The sequence below is a fragment of the Homo sapiens genome, chromosome 2 (assembly GCF_000001405.40).
Source record: "Homo sapiens chromosome 2, GRCh38.p14 Primary Assembly".
NCBI classification, from domain to species: Eukaryota; Metazoa; Chordata; class Mammalia; order Primates; family Hominidae; genus Homo; species Homo sapiens.
In genome coordinates, this window is record NC_000002.12 from 159,702,572 (window position 1) to 159,728,530 (window position 25,959).

Below are 25,959 nucleotides of genomic sequence, written 5' to 3' on the forward strand. Positions count from 1 at the left end.
GGATCTGGAAAGCATTTGGTTATTAACACAAGAAAGTGAAGCCTAATGCAAAACAGTCATATCATTATGTTTATAAAACTGTTAAAGGGCTTACAAGGAAATCAAATATTCATTAAAATTGTTTTTCACATTTTCATTCCTATCATAGGACCCCCAATACGCAAAAACATGTTTAAAACTTTCTTTTGGCCAGGCGCGGTGGCTCACACCTGCAATCCCAGCACTTTGGGACGCCGAGGCGGGCGGATCATGAGGTCAGGAGATCGAGACCATCCTGGCTAACAGAGTGAAACCCAGTCTCTACTAAAAATACAAAAAATTAGCTGGGCGTGGTGGCAGGCACCTGTAGTCCCAGCTACTCGGGAGGGAGGCTGAGGCAGGAGAATGCCATGAACCCAGGAGGTGGAGCTTGCAGTGAGCCGAGATTGCACCACTGCACTCCAGCCTGGGCTACAGAGCAAGACTCCGTCTCAAAACAAACAAACAAAAACAAACAAAACAAAAACAAAAACAAAAACTTTCTTTCTTTTTTTGAGATGGAGTCTTGCTCTGTTGCTCAGGCTGGAGTGCAGTGGTGCAATCTCTACTTACTACAACCTCTGCCTCCTGGATTCAAGCAATTCTCCCTGCCTCAGCTTTCCAAGTAGCTTGGATTATAGGCTCCTGCCACCACACCCAGCTAATTTTTGTTATTTTTTTTTTAGTAGAGATAGGATTTTACCACGTTGGCCAGGCTGGTCTTGAACTCCTGACCTCAGGTAATCTGCCCACCTCAGCCTCCCAACATGCTGGGATTATAGGAGTGAGCGACTGCGCCCAGCCAAGGCTTTCCATTTAAGTAACTATTTGTGATAAACATAAGCTTAAAAAATACCTTAATAAATGGACTTTAAAACAATGAAATAATCACTTCTACCCCCCGCAAAAAAAAAGCTTTCCCACAAATGTAGTCAAAATTAATCCTATGCAAACAAACAAAAAAAGCGCTGAGTTAAATATCCTTTAAAAACTGAATTAAAATTCAATTTTGGGCCAGGCATGGTGGCCTGCGCCTGTAATCCCAGCACTTTGGAAGGCTGAGGTGAGCAGATTGCTTGAGCCCAGGAGGTCAAGACCAGCCTTGGCAACATAGCGAAACCCTGTCACTATAGAAAATACAAAAGTCAGCCAGTAATCCCAGCTACTTGGAAGGCTGAGGTGATAGGATCTCTTGAGCCCAGGAGGTCAAGGCTAGAGTAAGCAGTGATCGTGCCACTGTACTCCAGCCTGGTCAACAGAACAAGACCCTGTCTCAAAAAAAAATTTTTTTTTGAAAAGTACAGAGGTCTCAGCTTCAAAGATAACAATATTCAAACTACAACAATCAACCACTTCCACCAACATGCTTATGTGCCATGCTAAAGTTAAGACTTACATAAATATAAGATAAATATTTTAAGTGTGTTACCATTCCCATACCATTTTATGATGATGTAATAGAAAAATATGAAGGATTTCTTCTATACTGTCCTTGGTATAAATGGCATGCTTGCTGTCAAGAGCACTGAAGCTCCATGGTAAGAAACTTAGAATGGACTCTGGGATAAAAAATACGGTTATTTGAGAAACTAGTTAAGCAGTACATATGTCATATGTATATAGCTTTTAAAGTATTATTATGATATACAAAAGTACAGATGAGGTGTTTTTAAATAACTGGAGTATATGTATTCAATGGCTTTATCCAACTGCTAAGAAAGTGAAACAGGAATAGTGGAAAAAATAAGTTAACATCATTCCCAGGCATGTTGGTAGTATAACATGCACTGCATAATGCAAAATCAGTTAGGTATATTGGGTGATTCTGGAGGACACAGAGTTACCATTTCCTTCCTTCCTCCCTCCCTCCCTCCCTCTCTATCTTTCTTTTTCTTTTTTTTTTTTTTTTTGAGACGGAGTTTCGCTCTTGTTGCCCAGGCTGGAGTGCAATGGTGCAATCTCAGCTCACTGCGACCTCCACCTCCCGGGTTCAAGTGATTCTCCTGCCTCAGCCTCCTGAGTAGCTGAGATTACAGGTGTGCACCACCATGCCCATCTAATTTTTGTATTTTTAGTAGAGATGGGCTTCACTATGTTGGCCAGACTGGTCTCAAACTCCTGAATTCAGGTGGTCCACCCGCCTCGGCTTCCCAAAGTGTTAGGATTAGAGGCGTGAGCCACCGCATTTGGGTTTTTTTTGTTTTTTGAGTTCTCGCCATTCTCCTGCCTCAGCCTCCCAAGTAGCTGGGACTACAGGTGCCCACCACCACGCCCGGCTAATTTTTTGTATTTTTAATAGAGACGAGGTTTCACCGTGTTAGCCAGAATGGTCTTGATCTCCTGACCTCGTGATCCGCCCAGTTCGGCCTCCCAAAGTGATGGGATTACGAGCCACCACGCCCAGCCTCGTCTGGCCTTTTTTGGTTTGTTTTTTTTTTTTGGAGACAGGGTCTTGCTCTGTTGCCCAGGATGCCAGGCTGGAGTGCAGTGGCGCAATCTCAGCTCACAGAAACCTCTGCCTCCTCAGCTCAAGCAATTCTCCTGCCTAAGCCCCCTAAGTAGCTTTGACTACAGGTGTGTGCCATAACATCTGGCTAATTTTTGTATTTTTTTGTAGAGATGGGGTCTCACTATGTTGCCCAGGCTGGTCTCAAACTCCTAGGTTCAAGTAGTCTGCCCACCTCAGCCTCTCAAAGTGCTGGGATTACAGGTGTGAGCCACCACGCCCAGTGTAGTTACCACTTCTTATAACTGAACAAGTAGGTGACAGAAAAACATAACAGTAATAATAAATGAGAAAGATTCAAAAGATAGGTAAGCAATATTTTGTTTTCTGAATAGTTTAACATTTATAGTTCTGAATAGTTTAGTTTTCAGAATAGAAAACCCAGAAATATATTCAGCATAAATTTAAAAATTCAATATATAACAAAGGTGGTCTTTCTAATTACAGAATTAGCCTTTCTAATTACAGAATTGGTCTTTCTAATTACAGAATTAGAATGCTACTGGCACACCTGGCTATCTATTGAGAAGACAAAAAAATTAGATCCTATTATCTTATTCCATATACAAAAATGATAAATTTTTTAAGATGTAAGAGATCAATTGAGAATAATTAAGCACAACCTGGAAAATGTAGGATACTGCCTGATAATATCAAAGGATAAGTAAGATTTTTTAAGCTAAACTGGAAACCTAGAACTTGTTAAAGAAATCATTGACACATTTTACCATCTAAACCTATCTATGGCAAAAAATACTACATGTAAAATCAATAGAAATGAAAAAAACACTGTGAAAGCAGCAGAGTGATAATATCTATTACAAACCAAAAGCAAAGGCTAAACAACTAAACATCAATAGGGATTTAGAGAAAAGGTACTATAGAATGAAAAAAGTTAGATGAAGATGCATGCTTAAATTTGATTTCATTTTATAAATTAAATGGTTAAAAAAACTCCATCAATACCAGTATTTCTGTAAACATATATAACACACACACACACAAACACACACACTCTTTTATGATTGTGTGACCATGCAGAAAGTAAGGTGGGAGGATACACAGTAGTTGGTCAACATGAGCTGCAAAGGATGTTTGTGGAGTAGCAGACAGAGGCAGAAGAGCCAAATTAAGAAGGAAAAGAAAAAGGCAAGGAAAAGGCGAAAAACGGAAAAGAGAAGGACTACACTAAAATAGTAGGTATGATACAATCACATACACAGCTTTTTATAAAATTGTACACAAATGTGGACACGAAAAAAAATTTAAGATAAAACAGGATGCTGCCTAACTTGGCAGAAGGAATGCTCAAGGAATTTATATCTTTATCCCCTTCTGCTTCCAATCTCAAAAAAAATGTAGTCTGAAATGGTCATGGAGGCCAAGCATGGTCCTCGATTATTATAATTCTGAAGTTCGTGTGTGCCTCCGTGTGTGTGCGTGTGTGTTTGTGCACGCACGCGTGCGCATGTGCACACTTGGCTGAACTCTATTACAGGAACAATGATTGCTAGTTCAATTTGGTTTTATGGTTTACTCCAGAGGTCAGCAAACTTCCTGTACTAAATATTTTAGGATTTCTAAGTCATACCATCTCTGTCACAACTACTAAACTGTTCTCATTGTAGGGTGAAAGCAGTTAAACTGTGATGGTTAATTTTATACGACAGCTTGGCAAGGCCAGAGTACCCAGTTACGTAAGTAGCACTAATCTGGGCTGCTGTGAAGGTATTTTGTAGAAGTGGTTAATATCTACAATCTGTTGACTTTAAAGAGATTACTCTTGATAATGTTGATGGGCCTCATCCTGTCAGCCTTAAGAGCAAAAACTGAAGTTTCCTAGAAAAGAAATTCTGCCTTAAGAATGCAGCATCAACTCTGGTCTTAGTTTCCAGCCCTACAAATTTCAAACTTATCAGCTTCCACAATTACGTGAGCTAATTCCTTAAAATAAATATTCACAGACAGATAATGTATTGTATACTACTGGTTCTGTTTCTCTGGAGAACCCTAATATATAATGCACAACAATAGACAATACACAATCTAAATTACATATTTAAATTAAATATATAATTAAATCTAAATTATGTAAAATAACAGGTAGTGGGCTACATTTGGCCCATGTACCACAGTTTTCCAACTCCTAGTTTTATCAATAATAAAAAATAGGGCTGGGCATCGTGGATCGCACCTATAATCACAGCACTTTGGGAGGCCAAGGCAGGAGGGTCTGGGAGGCCAGGAGTTCAAGGCCACCCTGAGCAACATACTGAGAACTCATCTCTATTAAAAAAATAATTATAATAATAAAATATAGCTGTTGGCCTGGTGCCTGTAATCCCAGCACTCTGGGAGGCCAAGGTGGGAGGATCACCTTAGGTCAGGAGTTTGAGAGCAGCCTGGCCAACATGGTGAAACCCCATCTCTACTAAAAATAGAAAAATTGGGGCTGGGCGTGGTGGCTCACACCTGTAATCCCAGCACTTTGGGAGGCTGAGGCGGGTGGATCACAAGGTCAGGAGTTCAAGACCGGCCTGAATAACATGATAAAACTCCATCTCTACTAAAAATTACAAAAATTAGCCAGGCATTGTGGTGCATGCCTGTAATCCCAGCTACTCAGGAGGCTGAGGAAGGAGAATCGCTTGAACCTGGGAGGCGGAGGTTGCAGTTAGCGGAGATCACACTATTGCACTCCAGCCTGGGCGACAGAGCAAGACTCCATCTCAAAAAAAAGAAAAAATTAGCCGGGAGTGGTGGCAGGCACCTGTAATCCGAGCTACTCGGGAGGCTGAGGCAGAAGAATCACTTGAACCTGGGAGGTGGAGGTTGCAGTGAGCCGAGACTGAGCCACTGCATTCCAGCCTGGGAGACAAGAGTGAGACTCTGTCTCCAAAATAAATAAATAAAAAAAATAAAATATAGCTGTTAACTGGATGTGGTAGCTGATGCCTGTAATTCCAGTACTTTGGGAGGCCGGGGAGGGAGGATCACTTGAGGCTTGGAGTTTGGGACCAGCCTGGGCAGCAAAAAATTTAAAAACAACTAGCCCCACACTGTGGTGGCACACCTGTAGTCACAGCCACACAGGAGGCTGAGGCAGGAGGACAGCTTTAGCCTAGAAGCTTGAGGCTCCAGTGAGCTATGATGGTACCGCCGGGTACTCCAGCCTGGGAGATGGAATGAGGCCTCATGTACTTAAAAACATGAATAAAATGTATCTGCTTTTCTTAAGCATTCTATATATTTCAGGCAGTGTGCAAGGTTTGAATTCCAAGTGTTCCACAAATTGGGGATTATTCCTGGTGAGGCCAGATATTCTAGAGCAACTAAAAGCAGGAATGATCTTTCTAGAAGCAGTGAGATCTAGCCTGTAAGCTTAGATGTAAGAGAGGTTTCTCAGACAGGGTTTCAAGATGGTATTCTCTTTACGTGTTTTAATAACCTTTTATTTATTTATTTATTTATTTATTTATTTATTTCTTTATTTATTTATTTTGAGATAGGGTCTGTCACCCAGGCCTGAATGCAGTGGCATGATCCCCGCTCACTGCAAGCCTCAACCTCCTGGGCTCAAGCAATCCTCCTGCCTCAGCCTCCCAAGTAGCTGGGATTATAGGCATGCACCAATGCACAGGGCTAATTTTTAAAATTTTTTTGTATAGATGGGGCCTTGCTTTGTTGCCCACGCTGGTCTCAAGCATCCTCCTGACTCAGCCTCTCAAAGTCCTGGGATTATAGGCTTGAGCAACTACATCTGGCCTCTATATCCTTTTAAATACTGGCTTGGGGAATTGAAAGTTTTTGATGCTAATCCAGTAGAAGTCAACCAACAGAATTTTTTGGATGTTCATTTACTAAATATGGCAACTTTAAATAAAACTTGATGTGGGGAAAATAAAAATTTATAAAGGCACTAAATCGAGAGTTTATTATTTTTGTTATGAAAGGAATCCCTTACATCAAAGACTTAGAACAATGGACCTTTAAGTAATATATCCCTTAGAAGTAGGAGTCCTCATGACATTTTGGGCTGGATAAAAAAAGAAAAAAAAAAAGAAGCAGGGATCCTTGGCCAGGCGCGGTGGCTAACGCCTGTAATCCCAGCACACTGGGAGGCCGAGGCAGGCAGATCACCTGAAAAAATTGTTCTCAATCAGGTAGACAGTAGAATGATAGTTATCAGAGGCTGGGAAGAGTATGTGTGTGGTGGGGGTGGGGACAAAAAGAGGATGGTTAATGGGTACAAATATAAAGTTGGATAAAAGGAGTAAGTTCTAATGTTTGATAATAGAGTAGAATGACTATAGTTAACATCATATTGCATTATTTCAAAATAGCTAGAAGGGAAGACTTGAAATACTACCCACACAGAAGTCATAAATGTTCTAGATGATGGTTATCCTAAATACCTTGACTTGATCATTACACATTCTATGTATGTAACAAAATATCCCATGTATCCCATAAATATATACAAATATTATGTATCAATAAAAAATTATATGATTTGCAAAAAGCAAATGTAACCACATCTTTTCAATGTCCCACCATTTATGCAAAGTAAAGGATATCTCTACAACTACCCTTGCCAAAGAGAAGCTTTTTAGAAGATTAGGTTGTGGGATGAATAAAAGAGGGGAAAACAAGAACTTTGAAATTCAATATCTGAAAGAGCATTCTAAGCTATCAGGTGGAAGAAATGCTCAAAACATAAGAGTAAAGGGTTGAATGACCATGGGTAAATAACAGACAAGTTTATAAAATAAAAGGGGGAAAATTGGTTAATAGTCAATAAGATGCTAACTTAGAGAAGAAGCCAAGTTTAAAAATGAAAACTAAGGTGAGTGGTGAGGGCAAGTGGTGAACAAAGATATTTAGATACAGAAAGGTATGTCAGAGTCACTCATAAAGGATAAAAAGTAGCAAGGGAAGGTCAAGTGGGGGAACTCTGTGGATAAAAGGCAAGCACGGTGTCTAGATTGTCTGGAACAGTTTTGACTTCAAACACTTGCCTGTCAAATCACTTTGTGACGATTTTTAGTTAAGAAACTATGGTCATTTTCCATGACCATGTTTTACCTATTCACATCCATAATTCCTAGCAAAATGTCTTTTTTTTTTTTTTGAGATGGAGTTTCACTCTGTTGCCCAGGCTGGAGTGCAGTGGCATGATCTTGGCTCACTGCAACTTCTGCCTCCTGGGTTCAAGTGATTCTTCTGCCTCAGCCTCCCAAGTAGCAGGGACTACAGGCGCCTGCCACCACGCCCGGCTAATTTTTTGTACTTTTAGTAGAGACAGGGTTTCACTGTGTTAGCCAGGATGGTCTCGATCTCCTGACCTCGTGATCCACCCACCTTGGCCTCCCAAAGTGCTGGGATTACAGGCATGAGCCACGGCGCCCGGCTGCAAAATGTCTGCAGCATAGCAAAATCTCAATAATTATTTATCACTCATGATAATTACCTGAATACTAAAATCAGAGAGAGTACATTAAAAAGAAACACAACGAACCATTCTTAAATAATAAAAACATATTCATCAGTGGTCTTTATTTACTAGCACCAATAAAAAACTAGAAGCTCTGTTTAGCATAGGAAATTGGTGTCATACTCACTTTATAATATCATCAGTGCTGGGTGGGGACAAAGCCATAATCTGCCAAAATCTGCACCATCCTTGCCAGGTTTGGGAGTTCTGTAGAGTAGTTACCACTGCCAGGTCTGACTGCCATAGCTCAGGAAAAGGGTGCAGTCATTTCTCTTAGCATAATCTTGAGAAGATGTCTAAGAGACCTATGTAATATTAAGTCACAGAAAGAAACAATATTATTGGTGGTTTAGACATGGAATGTAATAGCTAACAATTACGGAATGCTTACTTGTTTCAGGAACTGACGTGTTATCTCATCTAAACAATGCTACAGAGCATGGGTACTGTTATTAACCCCGTTTTACAGGAAACCTAGGTTTAGCAAGGTTAAGGAATTGCTTGAGATAACAAAGGTAGTAAGAGGCAGGGGTGGAATTTGAAGCCATATAGTCTGGTTCTTCAGGGTGTATACATCCGTGTATCTATAACCACAATGCTGCAGGGGCACTCGAACAGGCTGGAAAAGAATTATTTTTCTTTAAAGGGCAAATTAATTTCCTCAAAAGTAATCTCTGTTCACTTTATCCCATACCAGATGCTTATTTTCATTTCATATCCTAAAAGTTAGATTGGCACTTACATGCCAACTTAAAATACCTTTAAGTCTTTAAAATTTATAGTATTTTAGAATTTATCATAGTGAAACATGTACAGTCTGTTAGTCCCCAAGACAATAAAATAAGGATGATAGTGACTGATACTCCATTCCCTTCCGATGTAATGACAAACACGTAGAAACACTGTGTTTCATTTATTGGAATTATTTGGATCCAAAGGATTGCTTTTAATACCTTAACAAAATAGGTCATTAAAAAAAATCAAGTGCCTTTCAGTATTCTTCCAAGTTTCAATAACTGATCTTTTCCATTAAAAAACTTTTGATTCATTATTCCAAATCAACATATCATCTAAATATTTACACATAGTTAGATGTAGCTTTTCCCTAACCTACTCCCTTTTATTTATTAGTACTCATTTACATCTTAGTTTGCCACATTTACAGTTCTTTGAAAGTTTCATCTAATATTCACCAGACCATTCACCTCACAATTTTCCTCCCTCTTTCTAAATAGGTGAATTTGTTTACTGCAAAATCGATGGCTACGCTATTAAAGGTTACTATCACGATTTTAAAAGACATGATCACCATCATTTACCAAGATTCTTACCACAAGGAAATGATCACAAGGTTGGACAAACAGGCTCCAACTCTTAAGGGAAAGGGCTTGCAGTTAGATCACACAGGGCGGGCAGGGAAGCAAGCGGGGAGGGGTAGGTCGGAAAAGGCAGTGCTTGATTCAATTCAACATTCACTGCGCCACTTACCAAGAGCCAGAAAAAGAAAAAAAAAAAAAAAAAAAGCCAACCAGCTGGGCGTTATTTCGAGCACGGGGCCCTGCAGGTGGGCCTGTGGGCGGGGACCCGGCGCCCGGGAGGGAAGGGGCTGGCTCAGAGACTATAGACGGGCGGGGACCGCCCCGGCCCGGGCCTCCAGCGCCCGGCGCCCGCACACTCGCCAGCCCAGCTGCCGGCACGCCGGCCAGCCAGCCGCTGCCGCTTACCAGTGGCGCCTCGCTGACTCCCCGGGGGCAGCTCTTCAACGGTTCCCGCAGTCAGAGCACCACCCCGCGGTGGGGTACCTCCAGCCCGCCCGCAGCTCTCGGTCCCCGCCGCGCCGCCACTCTCGCGAGAAGCCAGGAAGTCCGCGAAGTGGGGGGAGGAGGAGCAGGGAGGGGCACTTAACGGTGGTGGCTGGTTCTGCGCCGGATCCGGGAGAGGGGCGGGCGCCATTGTGCTTCGCTGCCGACTGCATTTCCTCAGTCACGGGCCTAGAACTCCAAGGAGAAAGGCGGCGGTGCGTGTTGCTGCGAGTGGGACGCGCACTGGTCGGTGCCGGCTCAGGAGCCGGGGTAATGAGCTGCGGAGCTAGTTCTTCTCCGTCTTGGGCGCTAGTTCGGGACCAGGCCGCGAGTGGGGGAGGGGAGGAAACGAAGAGGCCTGGGGACGCGGAGGCCGCTTCCTCTCAGGATGAGGTGGAGAAGCTTGGTCCGGGGCCACCGGGGCCAAGGGGCCACAGCGCAGGCCTCCCTTGCCAGGGGCCTTTGGTCGGGTGGTGGAGTTTGTGGCGGGTGCAGGGGACAGATTGTGTGTCTTCCTCAGGGACGTGTGGCGGGTGACGGGAAGAAGCCTGAGCCCTCCTTTGGCGCGGGGCGGCCTCCTCTTGGGCCGTGGGGCGGGGGGTCTTCGGAGCCCTGCGGGCCGCGGGTGTCGCGCGTGAGCTCGCCGGTGAGCGCGGGGCAAAGGCGGGCAGGGCTCCGGCTCGGCCAGCCCGGCCTCGAGTCGAAGTGACTTCGGTAGCCCCTTAGATTCGGCCAAGATTGTCTTATTGGTAACGTCAGTTTTTGAATATCGTGACGCCCTGAGAGTTATTTTTGTGTTGTGGTGAATTGTGGGTTCTGCAACTCGAAGTAGGTGATTGTATTAAAAATGGACCTGTTGGCCTAAGAAGTAAAAATATAGAAGGCGCCGGGAGTAGGAAACTCCCTCATTTTGGTGAAACTGCGTATTGAAGATGTGTGTCCACCCCCTCACCCCAAAATGCTGCACTTAATACTTTTTCTCAAGTACCAAAGTAAATATATTGGGAAAGTCTATCTGGGTAATAAATTCGTCACGACTAATGTTGTTTGTTACTATTAGTTAAATGTGTGAAAACTGAAATTTGGCGAGGTTTTCTCCCCCATTTTGTAGGATTGATTAGCTATTTTTCTGATTACATGTTATTTTAAATCTCCACCTTTCTGTCCAGAACCAAGATGTAGGATTAAAGATGAATTTTCGATTTAAAAATCCAATAGTATACAGTTATTAAGAAGGCACACATGTAGTGTAACTAGATCTTTTACTTGAGGTAGCAAAAAGTTTGTTTGAGAAATGAGGTCAGTATAATATTTTTATTTAACAGCTCTACAGCATTTTGGGAGACAGGACTGGTGCATGAGGCAGTAGCACCAGACTCAGAAGACCTGGGTTTGAGTCTTGATTTTTGCCATAGTTATTTAAGTTCACGAGATTGTCTCAGAAACATGGCAGTTAATTTCTAGAGAGGATTAAATTTGCTGAGGTGGTGTGTGAAGCAGTCACTAGGGGACATAATACTAGTCTTGGTTTTTTTCCAAGTTTAGTGCTGGGTCAGGTGTCTTGAATTAAGAATTCCTACTTATTCAAGTACAAATGATTTCTTTTTTCTGCCACCTGGAAGAGGGCTATTTTCCCAGATAAAGCACGAGGATGCCCAGGTTATGTTCTACATGAAGGTGTCAGGTAACGAACTTGGACACAAAAGTCATCCATGACTCTCATGTAGCCAATTTTTAGTCCGCTCCATACCCACCTTACACAACTCTTTTATCTGCTCTATGTTCAAGAATCGTCTACATTTTGACATTTTATTGTAGGAAAATAATTTTATAATGCAAAATCTGTCAAATATCTTAAAACTTTTTTAGATAATTTGTAATTTGTTGTAGTCAAATTACAAATTATGGAGAGCTTCACATTACAAGAATGAGCTTGACATGGCATCTGCCCTCCACAACTCACTGTTTAGTCATCAGACTAATGTATAAACAACTATTATTATCTTAATATGACTGTACAGTGGTTCTGTGGGAGCATAGGGGAGGGGTGCTTAATCTTGGAAATTTTACAGGATTTATTTATTTATTGCCTGAACTAAGATGTGAAGGCTCACTAGGACTTTGATAAAGAAACTGCAAAGTCATGATATTATGGTTTGTTTTAGGAATTCATGATTTGTTCCTGTAGCTGAAACATACATTGAATGGTAAGTTAGAGCCCGACATAAAAGACTTTCTGTACTGTACTAGAAAATTAGTGTCTGGGTGTGGTGGCTCACTCCTGTAATCCCGTCACTTTGGGAGGCCAAGGTGGGAGGATCGCTTAAGGCTGGGAGTTCAGCCAGGCCACAAAGACCCCATCTCTACGGGCATGGTGGTGCGGGTGTAGTGGTGCGCACTGCTACTACTAGCTACTTGGGCTGCTGAGGCAGAACGATCATTTTGAGCTCACGAGTTGCAGAGACTGCAGTGAGGTATGATAGAGCTCCACTGCACTCCAGCCTGCACCACAGAGTGAGACCCTGTCTCTAAAAAAATAAAAATAAAGTTAGTGCTCTATGCTGCGGAATGGAGAGCTATTGTGTTCCTTAACAAAATAAAAATAATTTTTAGATAATCTTTGCTGATACATCCTTCTGTTACCACAGATAATTAAGTGCCAGTAATAAAGAACAATGGGACATGAATGAATGAAATGCACAGCGTTGCATTAGACTTTACTTTTAAACAACAAATTAACTAATGAAGCTTTTAACTGTTAAATAAGTGAATCAACTGATCACATTAGAATGATTACAATTTAAAAAGAATCGGATTTTGAGTTCCTACTAAGATTACTTGAATTCACCAAAGCAGAATTCAATTGCAGTCAAAAAATTTATCTTAATATACAGCATTTGCTAATCATAGGATGAGCCAAAAAGTCTGAAGTTGGGGAGAATGAAATTATAATTTGAGAGTTTAGGTGGGGGGGGTAATAATTTTGTGTGTGTGAGTGTGTGACAGGGTCTCACTCTGTTTTTTAGGCTGCTGCAGCCGCAGTCTCCCAGACTCAAGCAGTTCTCCCACCTCAGCTTCCTGGGTAGCTGGGACTACAGGTGCGCGCCACCATGTCTGACTAATTTTTATATTTTTTTATAGAGACAGTTTCACCATGTTTCCCAGGCTGGTCTCCAACTCCTTAGCTCAAGGAATCCTCCCACCTCAGCCTCCCAAAGCGCTGTGATTACAGGCCTGAGTGTGAGTCACTGCATGCTGGGGTTTAATTTTCATTAATCTTAATTTTCAGCTTTCTGCCCTGGCATGAACTTACATGGTCAGAGCTGGTTTTTCCTGCCCTCAAATATATTTCTCTGACTCTACCGGTTAGACTAGGTAAGTTGAACACCTGGTTTTAAAATCACCTGCTGCTCTACACCCATTTTTGTCAACAGCTTAAAAAGAAGGCAAGTTTTGAACCTTAAAAGTAGTTATCTTTCCATTATGATCATTGTTCATTAGTGTGATGTTTCATACTTTGTAGAAAGAACCCTAAAATGGTTTCTACTTAAGATCGAAACTTGATGCTTAGAGATTAAATTCATTTCAAGGAGAACAGTTTGCCTTTTACAGTGGTGTAGTGTAGACTTAACATCATAGTCATATTTTCTCATGGGATGTTAAGCTTTTTTCTAATTTTTTAAGATTTGGGCATGTCATATTTTTGTGTTTTAAGTATTTGTCAGCTAAAAGTTAGTTAAGGGAGACTTTTTTTTAAGGCCCAAAATGTTGTATACTTTCAAAGTGATTCCCTCATTGACCCACCCTTAGCTTCCATGTCTCCATGTTTACTATGATTTCCCACTAAGGAAAAAAAAAATTTCCCCAGAAGCAGATTTTTTTTTTTAAGAAAAGGATATGCAAAGTATATGTAAATAATGAAATAGTAACTGCGTGTTTGTATTTCTGCAAGACTCTTGAAATATTGCATTGGGGCTGGGCATGGTGGCTCACTCCTGTAATCCCAGCGCTTTGGGAGGCCGAGACAGGCAGATTGCTTGAGCTCAGGAGTTCAAGACCATCCTGGGCAACATGATGAAACCCCGTCTCTACTAAAAAAAATACAACAATTAGCTGGGTATGGTGGTGCGTGCCTGTAGTCCAGGCTACTCAGGAGGCTGAGGTGGGAGGATCACTTGAACCCAGGAGGTCGAGGCTGCAGTGATTGCACCACTGCACTCTGGCCTGGGCAGCAGAGTGAGACCCTGTCTCCAAAAAAAAAAATGATAGATTACATTGGTATTTTGTGTGATTGCTCTGGCCTTTGTGCCATGAGTTTATCCTATAGTAGTGGTGTACTTTTAGTAATTCAGTACCTGTAATCTTCCCTGGATATTTAAGATAGTTCCCAGGTTAGACTCAGTTAAAATCAGAGTTTTCAGAGACTGCAGGCATAAGATAATGGTATGGTAACAGTAGAAAATAAGGATAAGTAATGAATCTTTGTTCTATGGCTGCATAACAAACCACCTCGGGACCTAGTGGATTAAAACAACTGTTCACTGTTTTTTACAGTTCTAGGTGCCTGTTGGGCAGTTCTACTGATTTTGCCCGGGGCTTACTCCTCATGTACCAGCATTCAGCTGGAGGATTTCCCTGGCTGGGAGATCCAAGATGGCATCACTCATGTTTGGCAGCTAGTGTTGGTGGACATATAGGCCTTACTCTTTGTGATCATTTATGACACAGGAATCTTGGGACAGTATTCTAAGAGAAGCTTGTAAGACCTCTTACAACCTTGAAAATCTTACAGTGTCACAGTCCATTCTCTTAGTCACACAAGACTGGGGTGGGGAAGTAAGACTGCCTCATCCTAGGCAGTGCAGCAACGTTGCATTACAAAGGGGGCTAATACTAGGATGGGGGACATTTGTAGCCATATTTTGTAATTTACCATAGGTTCTTTAGACCACTATAAGAATAGATAGCCTCAAAGATGTCATGCTTGGGATTGCTTTAAAATAATAGAGTGGGTGGTAAAATAGGTTAGGGAGGTTGAATGTGGATAATAGTTGAAGACTTGATTGGTACATGGAAGCTCATTATTGGCTGTACCTTTGTGTATGTTTAAAATTTTTCATGATAAAAACTTTAAGTCATACTCAGGTAATCTGAACTTCATTTTGTGAAGTATTTTAACTTTATCTTTCACTTAGTCTTTACTAGAGTTATTTTTGTGGTAAGTAGCTACTAAGGCTGTAAACCAGCAAATTAGAAAGGGAATTATTCTCCTTAGGACTTCTGTAATACAAGTTATTTTAAAAATGCCTTTTCCTCTGGCAAATAATTGTTGCCCTCAATTAACAAAGTACATTAAAGAATTTTTTTGAAAACTAAGTATAAAGAAGAAAAAACACATTAATAATACCATCACCCGAGATAACAGCAAAATAATAAAAATGGCTATTTCTTTCCAGTTGTTTAATGCATATACTTAATATAAGTAATCTTGTATAGGTTTCTTTACCCTGAAGTGAATATCCTGTATGTAAATCTGAATGACTTTGAAAGATGTTTTACTATGTGTTAAAGACAAATTTCAAATAATGAAAAAGCCAACAAAATTTCTACTGAGCTGTTTATATGAAAACCTTCATGCTGATGGTATTGGTTAATAATAGCTAGTATTTGCTGAACACATGCTGTGTGCCAGCAAACCTCACAATATACCTGTGAAGTTGATACTATCATTATCACCATTTTGTAGGTGAGAAAATTAAGCATTAGATTATACCTAGAGTCATACCCAAGCATACCAAGTGAGGGGCAGACTTTGAAGCTTGCACTCAGCTAGCGTATTTCTACAAATAGAAATTGGCTGATGTGCAAAAATTAGGCAAAGATTGACTTATTTCCTGCCTAGCCTAGCCTCAGTTTTCTATTTTGGAAAAAAATAGGAAATGAATTTTATTAATATATTAAATACATATTTATTAATACATTAACATACAGGAAAAGACTTTTAGGTGTGGGAGGTAGCATGTGTTAATAGGGCTGAGGCATTTTTGTTAGACTGGTTATTTTATGACTACTGTGTGACTCTTGACAGATACCTGATCAAGGCCATTATTGTAATAATGGGACACAGTGATCCGTAGCATAATGGAAGGGGATACATAATACTTGAGAAAAACCTTCATAAGCAGAATCAGAGAAAAACTTTTGGACATTGTACTGCTTTTAGGAGTTCACAGCTTTCCAAATTTGATAAACTAAAAATCCAAGCTCTACCTGGTAGGCAGCTTGTGGTTGTGGTCAGAGAAAGCTTTAATCATAAGTAGGGTAATTGGTAGAACTCCTTTCCTCCTAATGTTCTCTTAAACTGCCTGAAGTTTTTCAATTTACTTTTTCATAGTACCCCAAATTCTACTAGAGATAAGTTTGTGGGAAGAGTGCCAAATAGAAGGTACAGTATAAGTAGAAGGCAAGGAGGTAGCATATGTATCTGGAAAACAGTAAATAAATCAGTGTATGTAACTGAAAAATATACCGTCAGCCACACTGCTCTCCAAAACTGTATTTCCAGCGTTCTCCTGGACCTTCTGGGCACTTCTAATTGCTTATTATTATTATTTTCAGAAAGTGTCTCACTCTGATGCAGTGGCGCGATCTCCGCTCACCACAACCTTCACCTCCCCAGGCTCAGGCAATTCTCCTACCTCAGTTTCCGAGTAGCTGGGATTACAGGTGTGCACCACTACCGCCCGGCTAAATCTTTTTTTGTATTTTTAGTAAAGACGAGGTTTCACCGTGTTGGCCAGGCTGGTCTGCTTATTCTTTTTTAAAAATATTTTTTGTAGAGACGGGGTGTCAATATGTTACCCAGGCTGGTCTTGAACTCCTCGCCTCAAGCAATCCTGCCCTGGCCTCCCAAAGTGCTGGAAGCCACCACAACCAGCCAGACAGCTCATTTTTCAAAACCAACTAATCTTGGTGTGCTTCCTTGACCACCCCCCACCACCACCCCGCCCACTCCCAATCCCCTGAAAGAAAAACAGTAAAATGTTTGTTCTTCATCAGTATTATAATTGCCTCCCTTCCCAGTTATTAGGTAAATCCTTTCTGACTTGAAGTATGTATTGAATCTGACTTTTATCCATTTCCACGACTTTGGGTCCTCATCCTTGGAGCCATGTCTCTTCCCGTAATGATCCTAATACTAATTTAGTTTGAGGGGATTTTTTTCTAGCTTATTTCCTCCTTCCCCAGTTTTTCAATTTTACCTAGTCTATTGTTAAACCCATCAGTTTGCTTGTTTGTTGACATTGGGGCTATGTCTTGGTCTGGTTCTGCCATTTTATCTCTTGGTAATGGGGTGATTTTTTTTCCTTGCATTTTTGTGTATCATACAAGTTTTGACTAAATGCTAAACTAAAAACAGAACAGATTAGAGACTGAGATAAACAATATTTATGCATTGATATGGGCATATTCTTCTGTCGGGGCATTAGTATGGTGGGTTGACTTTGTTTTGTCTGTAGTCGAGATGGATATGACCTTTATTATTGCTTTATTTACCTTCAGAGTATTCCAGTAGTGGACTGCCGCTGCCTAGTGCTTAGTATGAGGCCAAGAATGTTGGAGCAGTGTCCCGCCCTCCCCCCTCCAGCCCCAAGATGGAGTCTTGCTCTGTTGCCCAGGCTGGGGTGCAGTGGTGCCATCTCGGCTCACTGCAACCTCCGCCTCCTGGATTCAAGCGATTCTCCTTCCTCAGCCTCCCAGGGAGCTAGGATTACAGGAACGCAACACCATGCCCCGCTAATTTTTGTATTCTTAGTAGAGATGGGGTTTCACCATGTTGGCCAGCCTGGTCTTGAACTCATGACCTCGTGATCCTCCTGCCTTGGCCTCCCAAAGTGCTGGGATTACAGGCATGAGCCACTGCACCCAGCCATGGAGGATTTCTGAAGAGTCTAGGCCAATTATCTTACATAATGTCTTCCATTTTGGGTGTCTCATCCTCATGGTGGTATTTATATTATGGCTATTGTATATTTGTTAAAAAGTGCTCTTTTTGCAGTTTCCTGTTCCTTGCCTGTATTTTTCAAGCTTCTCTTTATTCAAACACACTAAGCATAGTTTTATAATCTGCCTGAAATGCTTGATTTGATGTTTTTGCTACCCTATTTTTTTTCTCTCATCTTGTGTCTCAAAGACCTTGTTTGTAGTATCTTATTTTGCTGTATACTTAGTTATCCCTTGTTCGTTATACTTGAAAAAATACTTGTAGAAATAATTTGAAAGTTAGCATGAAGGTATATTCCTCTAGCAAGATTTATGTTGGCTTCTGCCATGTTCCTGGTAGATTACTAAATTGGGACCACCTTAAACCAAATTCAGGATTTGAACTTCCATTTACCAAGCAGGCAACATTAACCTGGGCTGCAAATCTGCACAAGAGCTGGTTTACTTCTATTAATAGCTTAACTCTTTCCGCAACCGCTCAAGACAGAGTCTTGCTCTATTGCTCAGGCTGGGGTACAGTGGCATGATCTCGGCTCTCTGCAACCTCTGCCTCCCGGATTCAAGCAATTCTCCTGCCTTAGTCTCCGGATTAGCTGAGATTACAGGCGCGAGCCACCACACACGGCTATTTTTTTTTTTTTTTCTGTATTTTTAGTAGAGGCGGTTTCGCCATGTTGGCCAGGCTGGTCTTGAACTCCTGACTTTGTGATTCACCCTCCTCGGCTTTCCAAGGTGCTGGTATTACAGGCATGAGCCACCACACTGGGCCTAATACCTTAACTCTTAATCTGAGGTTGTGGTCTTTTGGAGTCCACCTTATTGTGAGGAGGTGGCCTGTTAAGATTCCTTACCTTGTTTATGTCCTGGATATCTTCAGAGTTTCTTAGGATGCCCAGAGGAATGGAGTCACTCATTTAAAAAAGCAGTTCATTTTTTTCATAGCTAAAGCAAGCCCACAGGTTTGTGAGATATAGACAGACTACATAAATTGTTGAATTGGTATGAATACAGGTTTTTTACTCTTGTTGCTGTGTCAGCCACTATTAAAATGCCTTAAGGTGAAGACATACTTAACAGAGTAAAAGTATGTCTTATTAGGTAAACTAGCAGCTGCATTATCAGCTTCAGAGAATCTTCATCCAGAAACTTCATCTCAGAAGTCAAAAAGTTCAATAAGTGAAAAATCTCAAATACCAATCGTACGATTTTTGTCTGTGTGTGTGTGGCTTTGTAGCTAATTAGATTCCTTACACACTCAATACCAGTTCTGGAGAATAGAAAGTGTAGCCTCTTGTCAGTGCCTCCCCTTCCTCAGTCATAGACTTGTTGATGAGGAACATGAGGATAAAATTCTAGTGGATCTATCATGACTGGGACTTCAGTGAGGCATACTTCACTGCCCTATCTGACTCCACTTATAAAACACAAATTCAAAGATAGAATTTCAGGATGTCAGTTGCAAAACTTTTAATGAAGCTTGGAGCCCACACCTACAAAATCAGCCCTGGTGATAAGTTTCTTATCACCAAACAGGAAGATAGCCTAACTGTCCAGCTCTGAAATGAAATCTGAATTTTAAAAAGCATGACATAGTGACAGAAGGAAAAGACCATTTCATTGACCATTGAGGAAAGATTGTACATGTGAACTTTTTTTGCGCTATTTGTTTTTAAGTCTTGGTTTAAAACATTAAGCTTCAAATGCCTCTTTCCAGTAGTCTGCTCTTGCTTATACCTTTTTCTTTTTTCTTTTTTTGTTTTTGAGACAGTCTTTCTCTGTTGCCCAGGCTGGTGTGCAGTGGCCCAGTGTTAGCTCACTGCAACCTCCACCTCCCGGGCTTCAAGTGATTCTTGTGCCTCAGCCTCCTGAGTAGCTGGGATCACAGGCGCGTGCCACCACACCTGGCTAATTTTTGTATTTATAGTAGAGAGAGGGTTTCACTGTGTTGGCCAGGCTGGTCTCGAACTCCTGGCCTCAAGTGATCCACCTCGGCCTCCCAAAGTGCAGAGATTACAGCTGTAAGCCACCATGCCCAGCCTATACCTTTTCCTTTGTAGCACTTAGAACTATTGAAGTTATGTGATTATTTGTGTAGTTTGTTCCATATTAGACTACAATTTCTTTACAGGCACCATCTCAGAACGTTTAGTGTTGTCCCCCTACCTCATTCGCTTGTTAAGTATTAATTACTGTGCTTAGTGCATGAGTATCCAAAAAACTTGGTTAAATGAATGAATGGACTTGAAAAGATGTCTCTTAGAACCTTCTAAGTGATTCGATAGAAGTTTTTCAAGGACTGCACATTTTTGTTTTTCACTATATTTTGTGCTTTTGACCTACAACTTACGCAACCAAATTACATAAGTTTTCATGTAACACCTACATTGTCAAAATTCAATCAATTTATGTAGAGGAGTTGCCAAAAATAGTTCCATACAATATCAAATTATCTCTCTCAAAGGACTCTGCCTCTTTGCCTTCTCCCAAGGAGGTTTGTTTTAAGCAGATTTCCTACTAGGTTAGTTTAGTTCTGCAAGTAAGAACTGGGTGTAAATGTAGTCAGAGTAAACTATAAGAGGTATTATTAGGAAACATTATTGTTGTTATAGAACTTAATATTGACGTATGTCTTTTAAAAAGCATTTTGTTTCCCAAAAATCCTCTGATTGCAAATACAGTCCCTTTAGTGTCTTCATAGCTGCCTTGATAAAATACCACATCTGCTACTTGTTAAATTGTTCATGGGCTTTTGCATTGTCACTGTTTAACCATTAATATTCTTTTCTCTAATGAATGCCTTTAAAAAATTTCCAGTTCAGAATTTACCTCTTTTTAATGAAATATTTTGTATGGACTTACCAAATACGTATATAGTTTGTAAAAAGCCGATGGTAGAAAAGATTTCTAAGTTAGGTGACCATATGCTTTATCATCCAAATGAGGCCACTTTTAAGAGACAGCGTAGGTACTATTAATAATTATTCTGGGATAATAAGCATAAATTAGAATTTTTCAGCACATAAACTGGGACTGTTCTGGGCAAGTGGGGAAATATGGTCATCCTGCTTCTAAGGAAAAGAGCAGTCCTTTTCCTTACCCTTTACCCCATCTCTAGTCCCACTTTGCAAAGGCAGTGCCCCTCTGCTATTTAGCTATTTCTTTTAGGACTTACATACTTTCATTTTTCTAAACAGTGTGCTTATACTGTTATTTCATGGTTTTTCATTGTTTCCTACCATTCTTATTTCCACTGCCCACTTCCATCTCACAATATGTAGCAAATTGATTCAGTAGTCTATATTTACATTATTAAGACTATGTAAATATTAAAGAGCTCACCTAATAACAATCATGCCTTTCATGAACAGCTAAGTTTTTCCAAGTTAAAAAATTAATTTTTAAAATTGCCTTTTCTTCTATATACACAGTTTTTTCAAGTTGTACCACCATCTCTACCACATGCCAATGAGATGTAGTTTCCATGTGATGCTTTTTCTTTTCTTACAACTTCTGCTACCTGAGGTCCTGCTCCAGTCCGAATTGTTTGCTTGCCATGCTTTCTGCATAGCATCCCCCTTAAGTTCCCCTTTATCGCTGCTTCCTGGGTTTCATATCTTGTTATTTCCTGCCTCACACTCCCATTTTTCTAGGACACGCTGTTCATTTAGCTTCCTCTGGTAGTGTTTTTGGTCGTTGTGTTTTGTTGAGACCTTGCATGTCTGAAAACATGTTCTGTTCTCCACTTCAAATGTACTTGCTAGATTGGAATTCAAGGCTAAACATTTTTCTCAGTATTATAAGCATTATTTCATTGTCTTAAGACTTTATTGTTGCTGTTAAGCTGTTCTGATTACGTTCTCTTTGTATGTGACCCATTTTTTCCACTCTAGTAACTTATAGGATCTTCCCATTACTTCTGGTTTTCTGCAGTTTCAAGATGGTATATTGTGCTTAGTGTTGGTCTTTTTTCTTTGATGCTCTTATGTAGTCTTGAGCCCTTTCAATTTGGAGAGTTCTGTCCTTCGTTTCTAGAAAAGTTTATTTGGTAATTTTCTCTATATTTTTCTGTAACCACAGTCAAATTATAACTCTCTAGATAATTATTTTCATGTTACATTTGCTATTTCTTTTGGTTCTGCTTTCCAGGAGGTTTCTGCAACTTACTCCCAGTCCTTATGTTGAATTTATTTCAGTATATCTCATTTTAACAAGTATATGGCATTTTGAATTTCCATAAGCTCTTTATAATGCTGTCTTTGTATTCTCACACATCCTGTTCTTATTTTATGAATGAATTTTTTTTATACTTTAAGTTCTAGGGTACACGTGCACAACATGCAGATTTGTTACATATGTATACATGTGCCATGTTGGTGTGCTGCACCCATTAACTCGTCATTTGCAATAGATATTTCTCTTAATGCCATCCTTCCCCCTCCCCCTACCCTAAAACAGGCCCCAGTGTGTGATGTTCCCTGCCCTGTGTCCAAGTGTTCTCACTGTTCAGTTCCCACCCATGAGTGAGAACATGCCATGTTTGGTTTTCTGTCCTTGGCGATAGTTTGCTGAGAATGATGGTTTCCAGCTTCATCTATGTCCCTACAAAGGACATGAACTCATCCTTTTTTATGGCTGCATAGTATTCCATGGTGTATATGTGCCACGTTTGCTTTATCCAGTCTATCATTGATGGGCATTTGGGTTGATTCCAAGTCTTTGCTATTGTGAGTAGTGCCACAGTAAACATACTTGTGCATGTGTCTTTATAGTAGCATGATTTATAATCCTTTGGGTATATACCCAGTAATGGGATGGCTGGGTCAAATGGTATTTCTAGTTCTAGATCCTTGAGGAATCGCCACACTGTCTTCCAGGATGGTTAAACTAGTTTACAGTCCCACCAACAATGTAAAAGTGTTCCTAATTCTCCACATCCTCTCCAGCACCTGTTGTTTCCTGACTTTTTAATGATTGCCATTCTAACTGGTGTGAGATGGTGTCTCGTTGTGGTTTTGATTTGCATTTCTCTGATGACCAGTGATGATGAGCATTTTTTCATGTGTCTGTTGGCTGCATAAATGTCTTCTTTTGAGAAGTGTCTGTTCATATCCTTCGCCCACTTTTTTATAGGGTTGTTTGATTTTTTCTTACGAATTTAAGTTCTTTGTAGATTCTGGATATTAGCTCTTTGTCAGATGGGTAGATTGCAAAAATTTTCTCCCAATGAATGAATGTTATTTGATCCCTGTGAGGATAGAAATAAGCCCCTTTCCCCCAAATTTTCCTCTCCCTGCAACATCTTAAAGTTTTGTTTTTATTGTTGTTTACTTTGGTCCTTCTTTCATATTGGAGGCCTTCCTTGATTACATGGTAGTCCTTGATGTTTGTCAGTTAGAGGGAAGCATTAAAAATTCTGATGAGAAACTCCTGGTGACTAGCAGCCTTTGTTGTAGGATAGAATGGTCTAGTGGAAGGCTAACCTTTAAAGTGGAAACATTTCAGATGACATTCAGAAATCTTATCACGGGTGTTTGGTGATCCAAGAGTAGAATCCCTTAGTCTCCTGACAGCATTGTAGAAACATGACCACAAAAGAGTCTGTGGGTCTCAATACTGAGTATATAAATTTTCTTTTATTCCTTATACTGACCCCATGCCTAAACTCCTGCGGAGATTATTGCATGTCGTGTGTGGGAGATGGGGGGTGGTAGGGACACAAGAGTGTTACCTAGGAAAGATTTATTTGCCAGAGAATAAATATCCTACCTTTAGGGGAATGGAACTGGGGAAGAATCTGAAGCTCTACTACTGCTCCAGATACAGGTTTTGTTTTGTTTTGTTTTGTTTTGTTTTGTTTTGTTTTGTTTTGTTTTGTTTTGTTTTTTGATACCGAGTCTCGCTCTTGCACCCAGGCCAGAGTGCAGTGGCACGATCTCTGCTCACTGCAAGCTCCGCCTCCCGGGTTCACGCCATTCTCCTGCGTCAGCCCCCTAAGTAGCTGGGACTACAGGCGCCCGCTACCACGGCCGGCTAATTTTTTGTAATTTTAGTGGAGACGGGGTTTCACTGTGTTAGCCAGGATGGTCTTGATCTCCTGACCTTGTGATCCGCCTGCCTCAGCCTCCCAAAGTGCTGGGATTACAGGCATGAGCCACCGCCCCCGGCCAGATACAGGTTTTAATTTAACAACTTGCTTTCCAGCCACATGCACCATTACCCCCAACCTGTTGTTATTTTTTTGTGATAAAATACAGAGAACATAAAATTTTACCATCTTAACCATGTTTGTGTACAATTCAGTATTATTGGATATATTCATAATGTTGTGCAAACATCACTATCATCTATCTCCATAATTCTTTTCATCTTGTAAAACCAAAATTTCATACTCATTAAACAACTCCCCATCCCCTGCCAACCACCAATCTTCTTTCTCTATGATTTGACTATAATTATTTTTAATGTATCTTTTCTCTGTTTAGTTATATAAATACTTACCATTGAATTACATTTGTCTACAGTATTCAGTACAGGAACATGCTGTAAAGATTTGCTGCCTAGAAACAATAGGTTATACTATATAATCCAGGTATTAGACTATACCATCTAGGTTTGTGTATGTACACTATTATTTTTGCACAGTGAAGAAATCACCTAAAGACGCATTTCTTAGAATATATTCCTGTTCTTGAGTGATGCATAACTATGCATACAATACAATAATATTCAGCCTTAAAAAAGGAAGGAAATTCTGGCATATGGTACAATATAGATGAACTTTGAGAACATTAGGGTAAGGGAAATAAATTTGCCAATCACGAAAAGACAAATATTGTATGATTCCACTTATATGAGATACAGTCAGAGGCCTTGTAAATCCTTGCCTCAGAATATTTTAAAAGCTTTTTAAGGCTGGGCACGGTGGCTCATGCCTGTAATCCCAGCACTTTGGGAGGCCGAGGCGGGCAGATCACGAAGTCAGGAGATCGAGACCATCCTGGTTAACATGGTGAAACCCCGTCTCTACTAAAAATACAAAAAAATTAGCTGGGCGTGGTGGCGGGAGCCTGTAGTCCCAGCTCCTTGGGAGGCTGAGGCGGGACAATGGCGTGAACCCAGGAGGTGGAGCTTCCAGTGAGCCGAGATCGTGCCACTTCACTCTAGCCTGGGCAACAGAGTGAGACTCCGTCTCAGAAAAAAAAAGCTTTTTAAATTATAGTAGTAACGTGCTTATAGTAGCACTGTTACAACTCCCAAGTGGAAACAATCTAGCGTACATTCATGGTAGAATGGGAAAATAAATTGTGTGCCATATGGTGGAATGCTATGTAAAGAAATTAGAGTGAACTGAAGACTGCATGCAACAACACAGATGAATCTCACAAATATAGTGTTGAGCAAATGAAGTTGGACACAAAAGAGTACTTATTGTATGATTCCGTTTATACGTATTTAATAATCAGGCATAGGTAATCATTACTTTCGTCGTGGGTTTAGAAATGTTTAGTGAGGAAAACTTGGAAATTATTAATCTATAAAGTGGAAAGCACTCAGTTCCACAAAATAACATTTTGTTTTTTTCTTAGAAGTTTTATTCATTTTATTTGCATAAATAGAATCATACTGTATGTGTAGTTTTATAGATTGACCTTTTTACTTAAAATGTTACTTTCCAATAGTACCATAAACAATCTTTGAAAACATTTTGAGAAACACTTTATTAGCTGTGTGATCATGTGCAAATTGCTTAACCTCTCAGTGCCTGTTTTCTTATTTATAAAGTGGAGATAATATAGTACCTGTCTCACAGGGTTGGTCTGGAGAGTCAGTGAACTAACAGATAATCAGAAGGTCTTTACTGTCAGACCTTGCATATAATACTTAATAAATATCAGCTATTGCTATTATTTTTGTTATAATTAAGAGATCCTATGAGTGGTAAATAAAAAGAAAGTTCATTCATTCTTACTTGTGTTTATTGAGTACCTATTGTATCCCAGGCAGTGATTTTAAAATACTTTAAATGATTCTGACCTAGAAAATTCATTGTTGAGATGGGGAAATAGAAAGGTAAACAAATTACAATGCATAGTAGTATCAAAAGTATGTATGAAGTAGAAACATATACAGAGAAG

At 40.4% G+C, this 25,959-nt stretch overlaps 2 protein-coding genes across 67 annotated transcripts in view, besides 5 other annotated features; one reads left to right on the forward strand and one right to left on the reverse strand.

The window, feature by feature from the left end:
• BAZ2B (bromodomain adjacent to zinc finger domain 2B) overlaps window positions 1-9,871 on the reverse strand; it is a 397,131-nt gene extending 387,260 nt beyond the window's left edge. For all 15 annotated transcript variants that reach the window (NR_110586.2, XM_047444047.1, XM_047444046.1 and 12 more), the window contains exons 1-2: window positions 9,743-9,871; window positions 8,146-8,323 (exon numbers count right to left, since the gene is read on the reverse strand). The gene's annotated coding sequence lies outside the window, so the exon portion shown is untranslated. The remainder of the gene's footprint in view (window positions 1-8,145; window positions 8,324-9,742) is intronic.
• Window positions 9,384-9,893: a silencer, noted in NCBI's record as "silent region_12043". NCBI's record gives its function as "represses an Ori minimal core promoter by ATAC-STARR-seq in GM12878 lymphoblastoid cells {active_cell/tissue: GM12878}" and the evidence as "EXISTENCE:reporter gene assay evidence [ECO:0000049][PMID:35858748]".
• Window positions 9,384-10,223: a biological region, named in NCBI's record as "NANOG-H3K27ac-H3K4me1 hESC enhancer GRCh37_chr2:160568592-160569258".
• Window positions 9,510-10,176: an enhancer, noted in NCBI's record as "NANOG-H3K27ac-H3K4me1 hESC enhancer chr2:160568592-160569258 (GRCh37/hg19 assembly coordinates)". NCBI's record gives its function as "activates a minimal SCP1, AML or CMV promoter by ChIP-STARR-seq in primed H9 embryonic stem cells {active_cell/tissue: H9 hESC(primed)}" and the evidence as "EXISTENCE:reporter gene assay evidence [ECO:0000049][PMID:30033119]".
• Window positions 9,935-25,959, forward strand: part of MARCHF7 (membrane associated ring-CH-type finger 7) — a 58,522-nt gene continuing 42,497 nt past the window's right edge. For 15 of the 52 annotated variants that reach the window (NR_164794.1, NR_164792.1, NR_164791.1 and 12 more), the window contains exon 1: window positions 9,935-10,090. The gene's annotated coding sequence lies outside the window, so the exon portion shown is untranslated. Of the gene's footprint in view, window positions 10,214-10,478; window positions 10,570-11,985; window positions 12,028-12,961; window positions 13,061-13,109; window positions 13,196-16,438; window positions 16,547-25,959 lie in introns of those variants that run through there. The other 37 variants (NR_164793.1, NR_164790.1, NM_022826.4 and 34 more) reach the window with 16 other exon arrangements.
• Window positions 9,944-10,223: an enhancer, noted in NCBI's record as "active region_16687". NCBI's record gives its function as "activates an Ori minimal core promoter by ATAC-STARR-seq in GM12878 lymphoblastoid cells {active_cell/tissue: GM12878}" and the evidence as "EXISTENCE:reporter gene assay evidence [ECO:0000049][PMID:35858748]".
• Window positions 10,414-10,533: a silencer, noted in NCBI's record as "silent region_12044". NCBI's record gives its function as "represses an Ori minimal core promoter by ATAC-STARR-seq in GM12878 lymphoblastoid cells {active_cell/tissue: GM12878}" and the evidence as "EXISTENCE:reporter gene assay evidence [ECO:0000049][PMID:35858748]".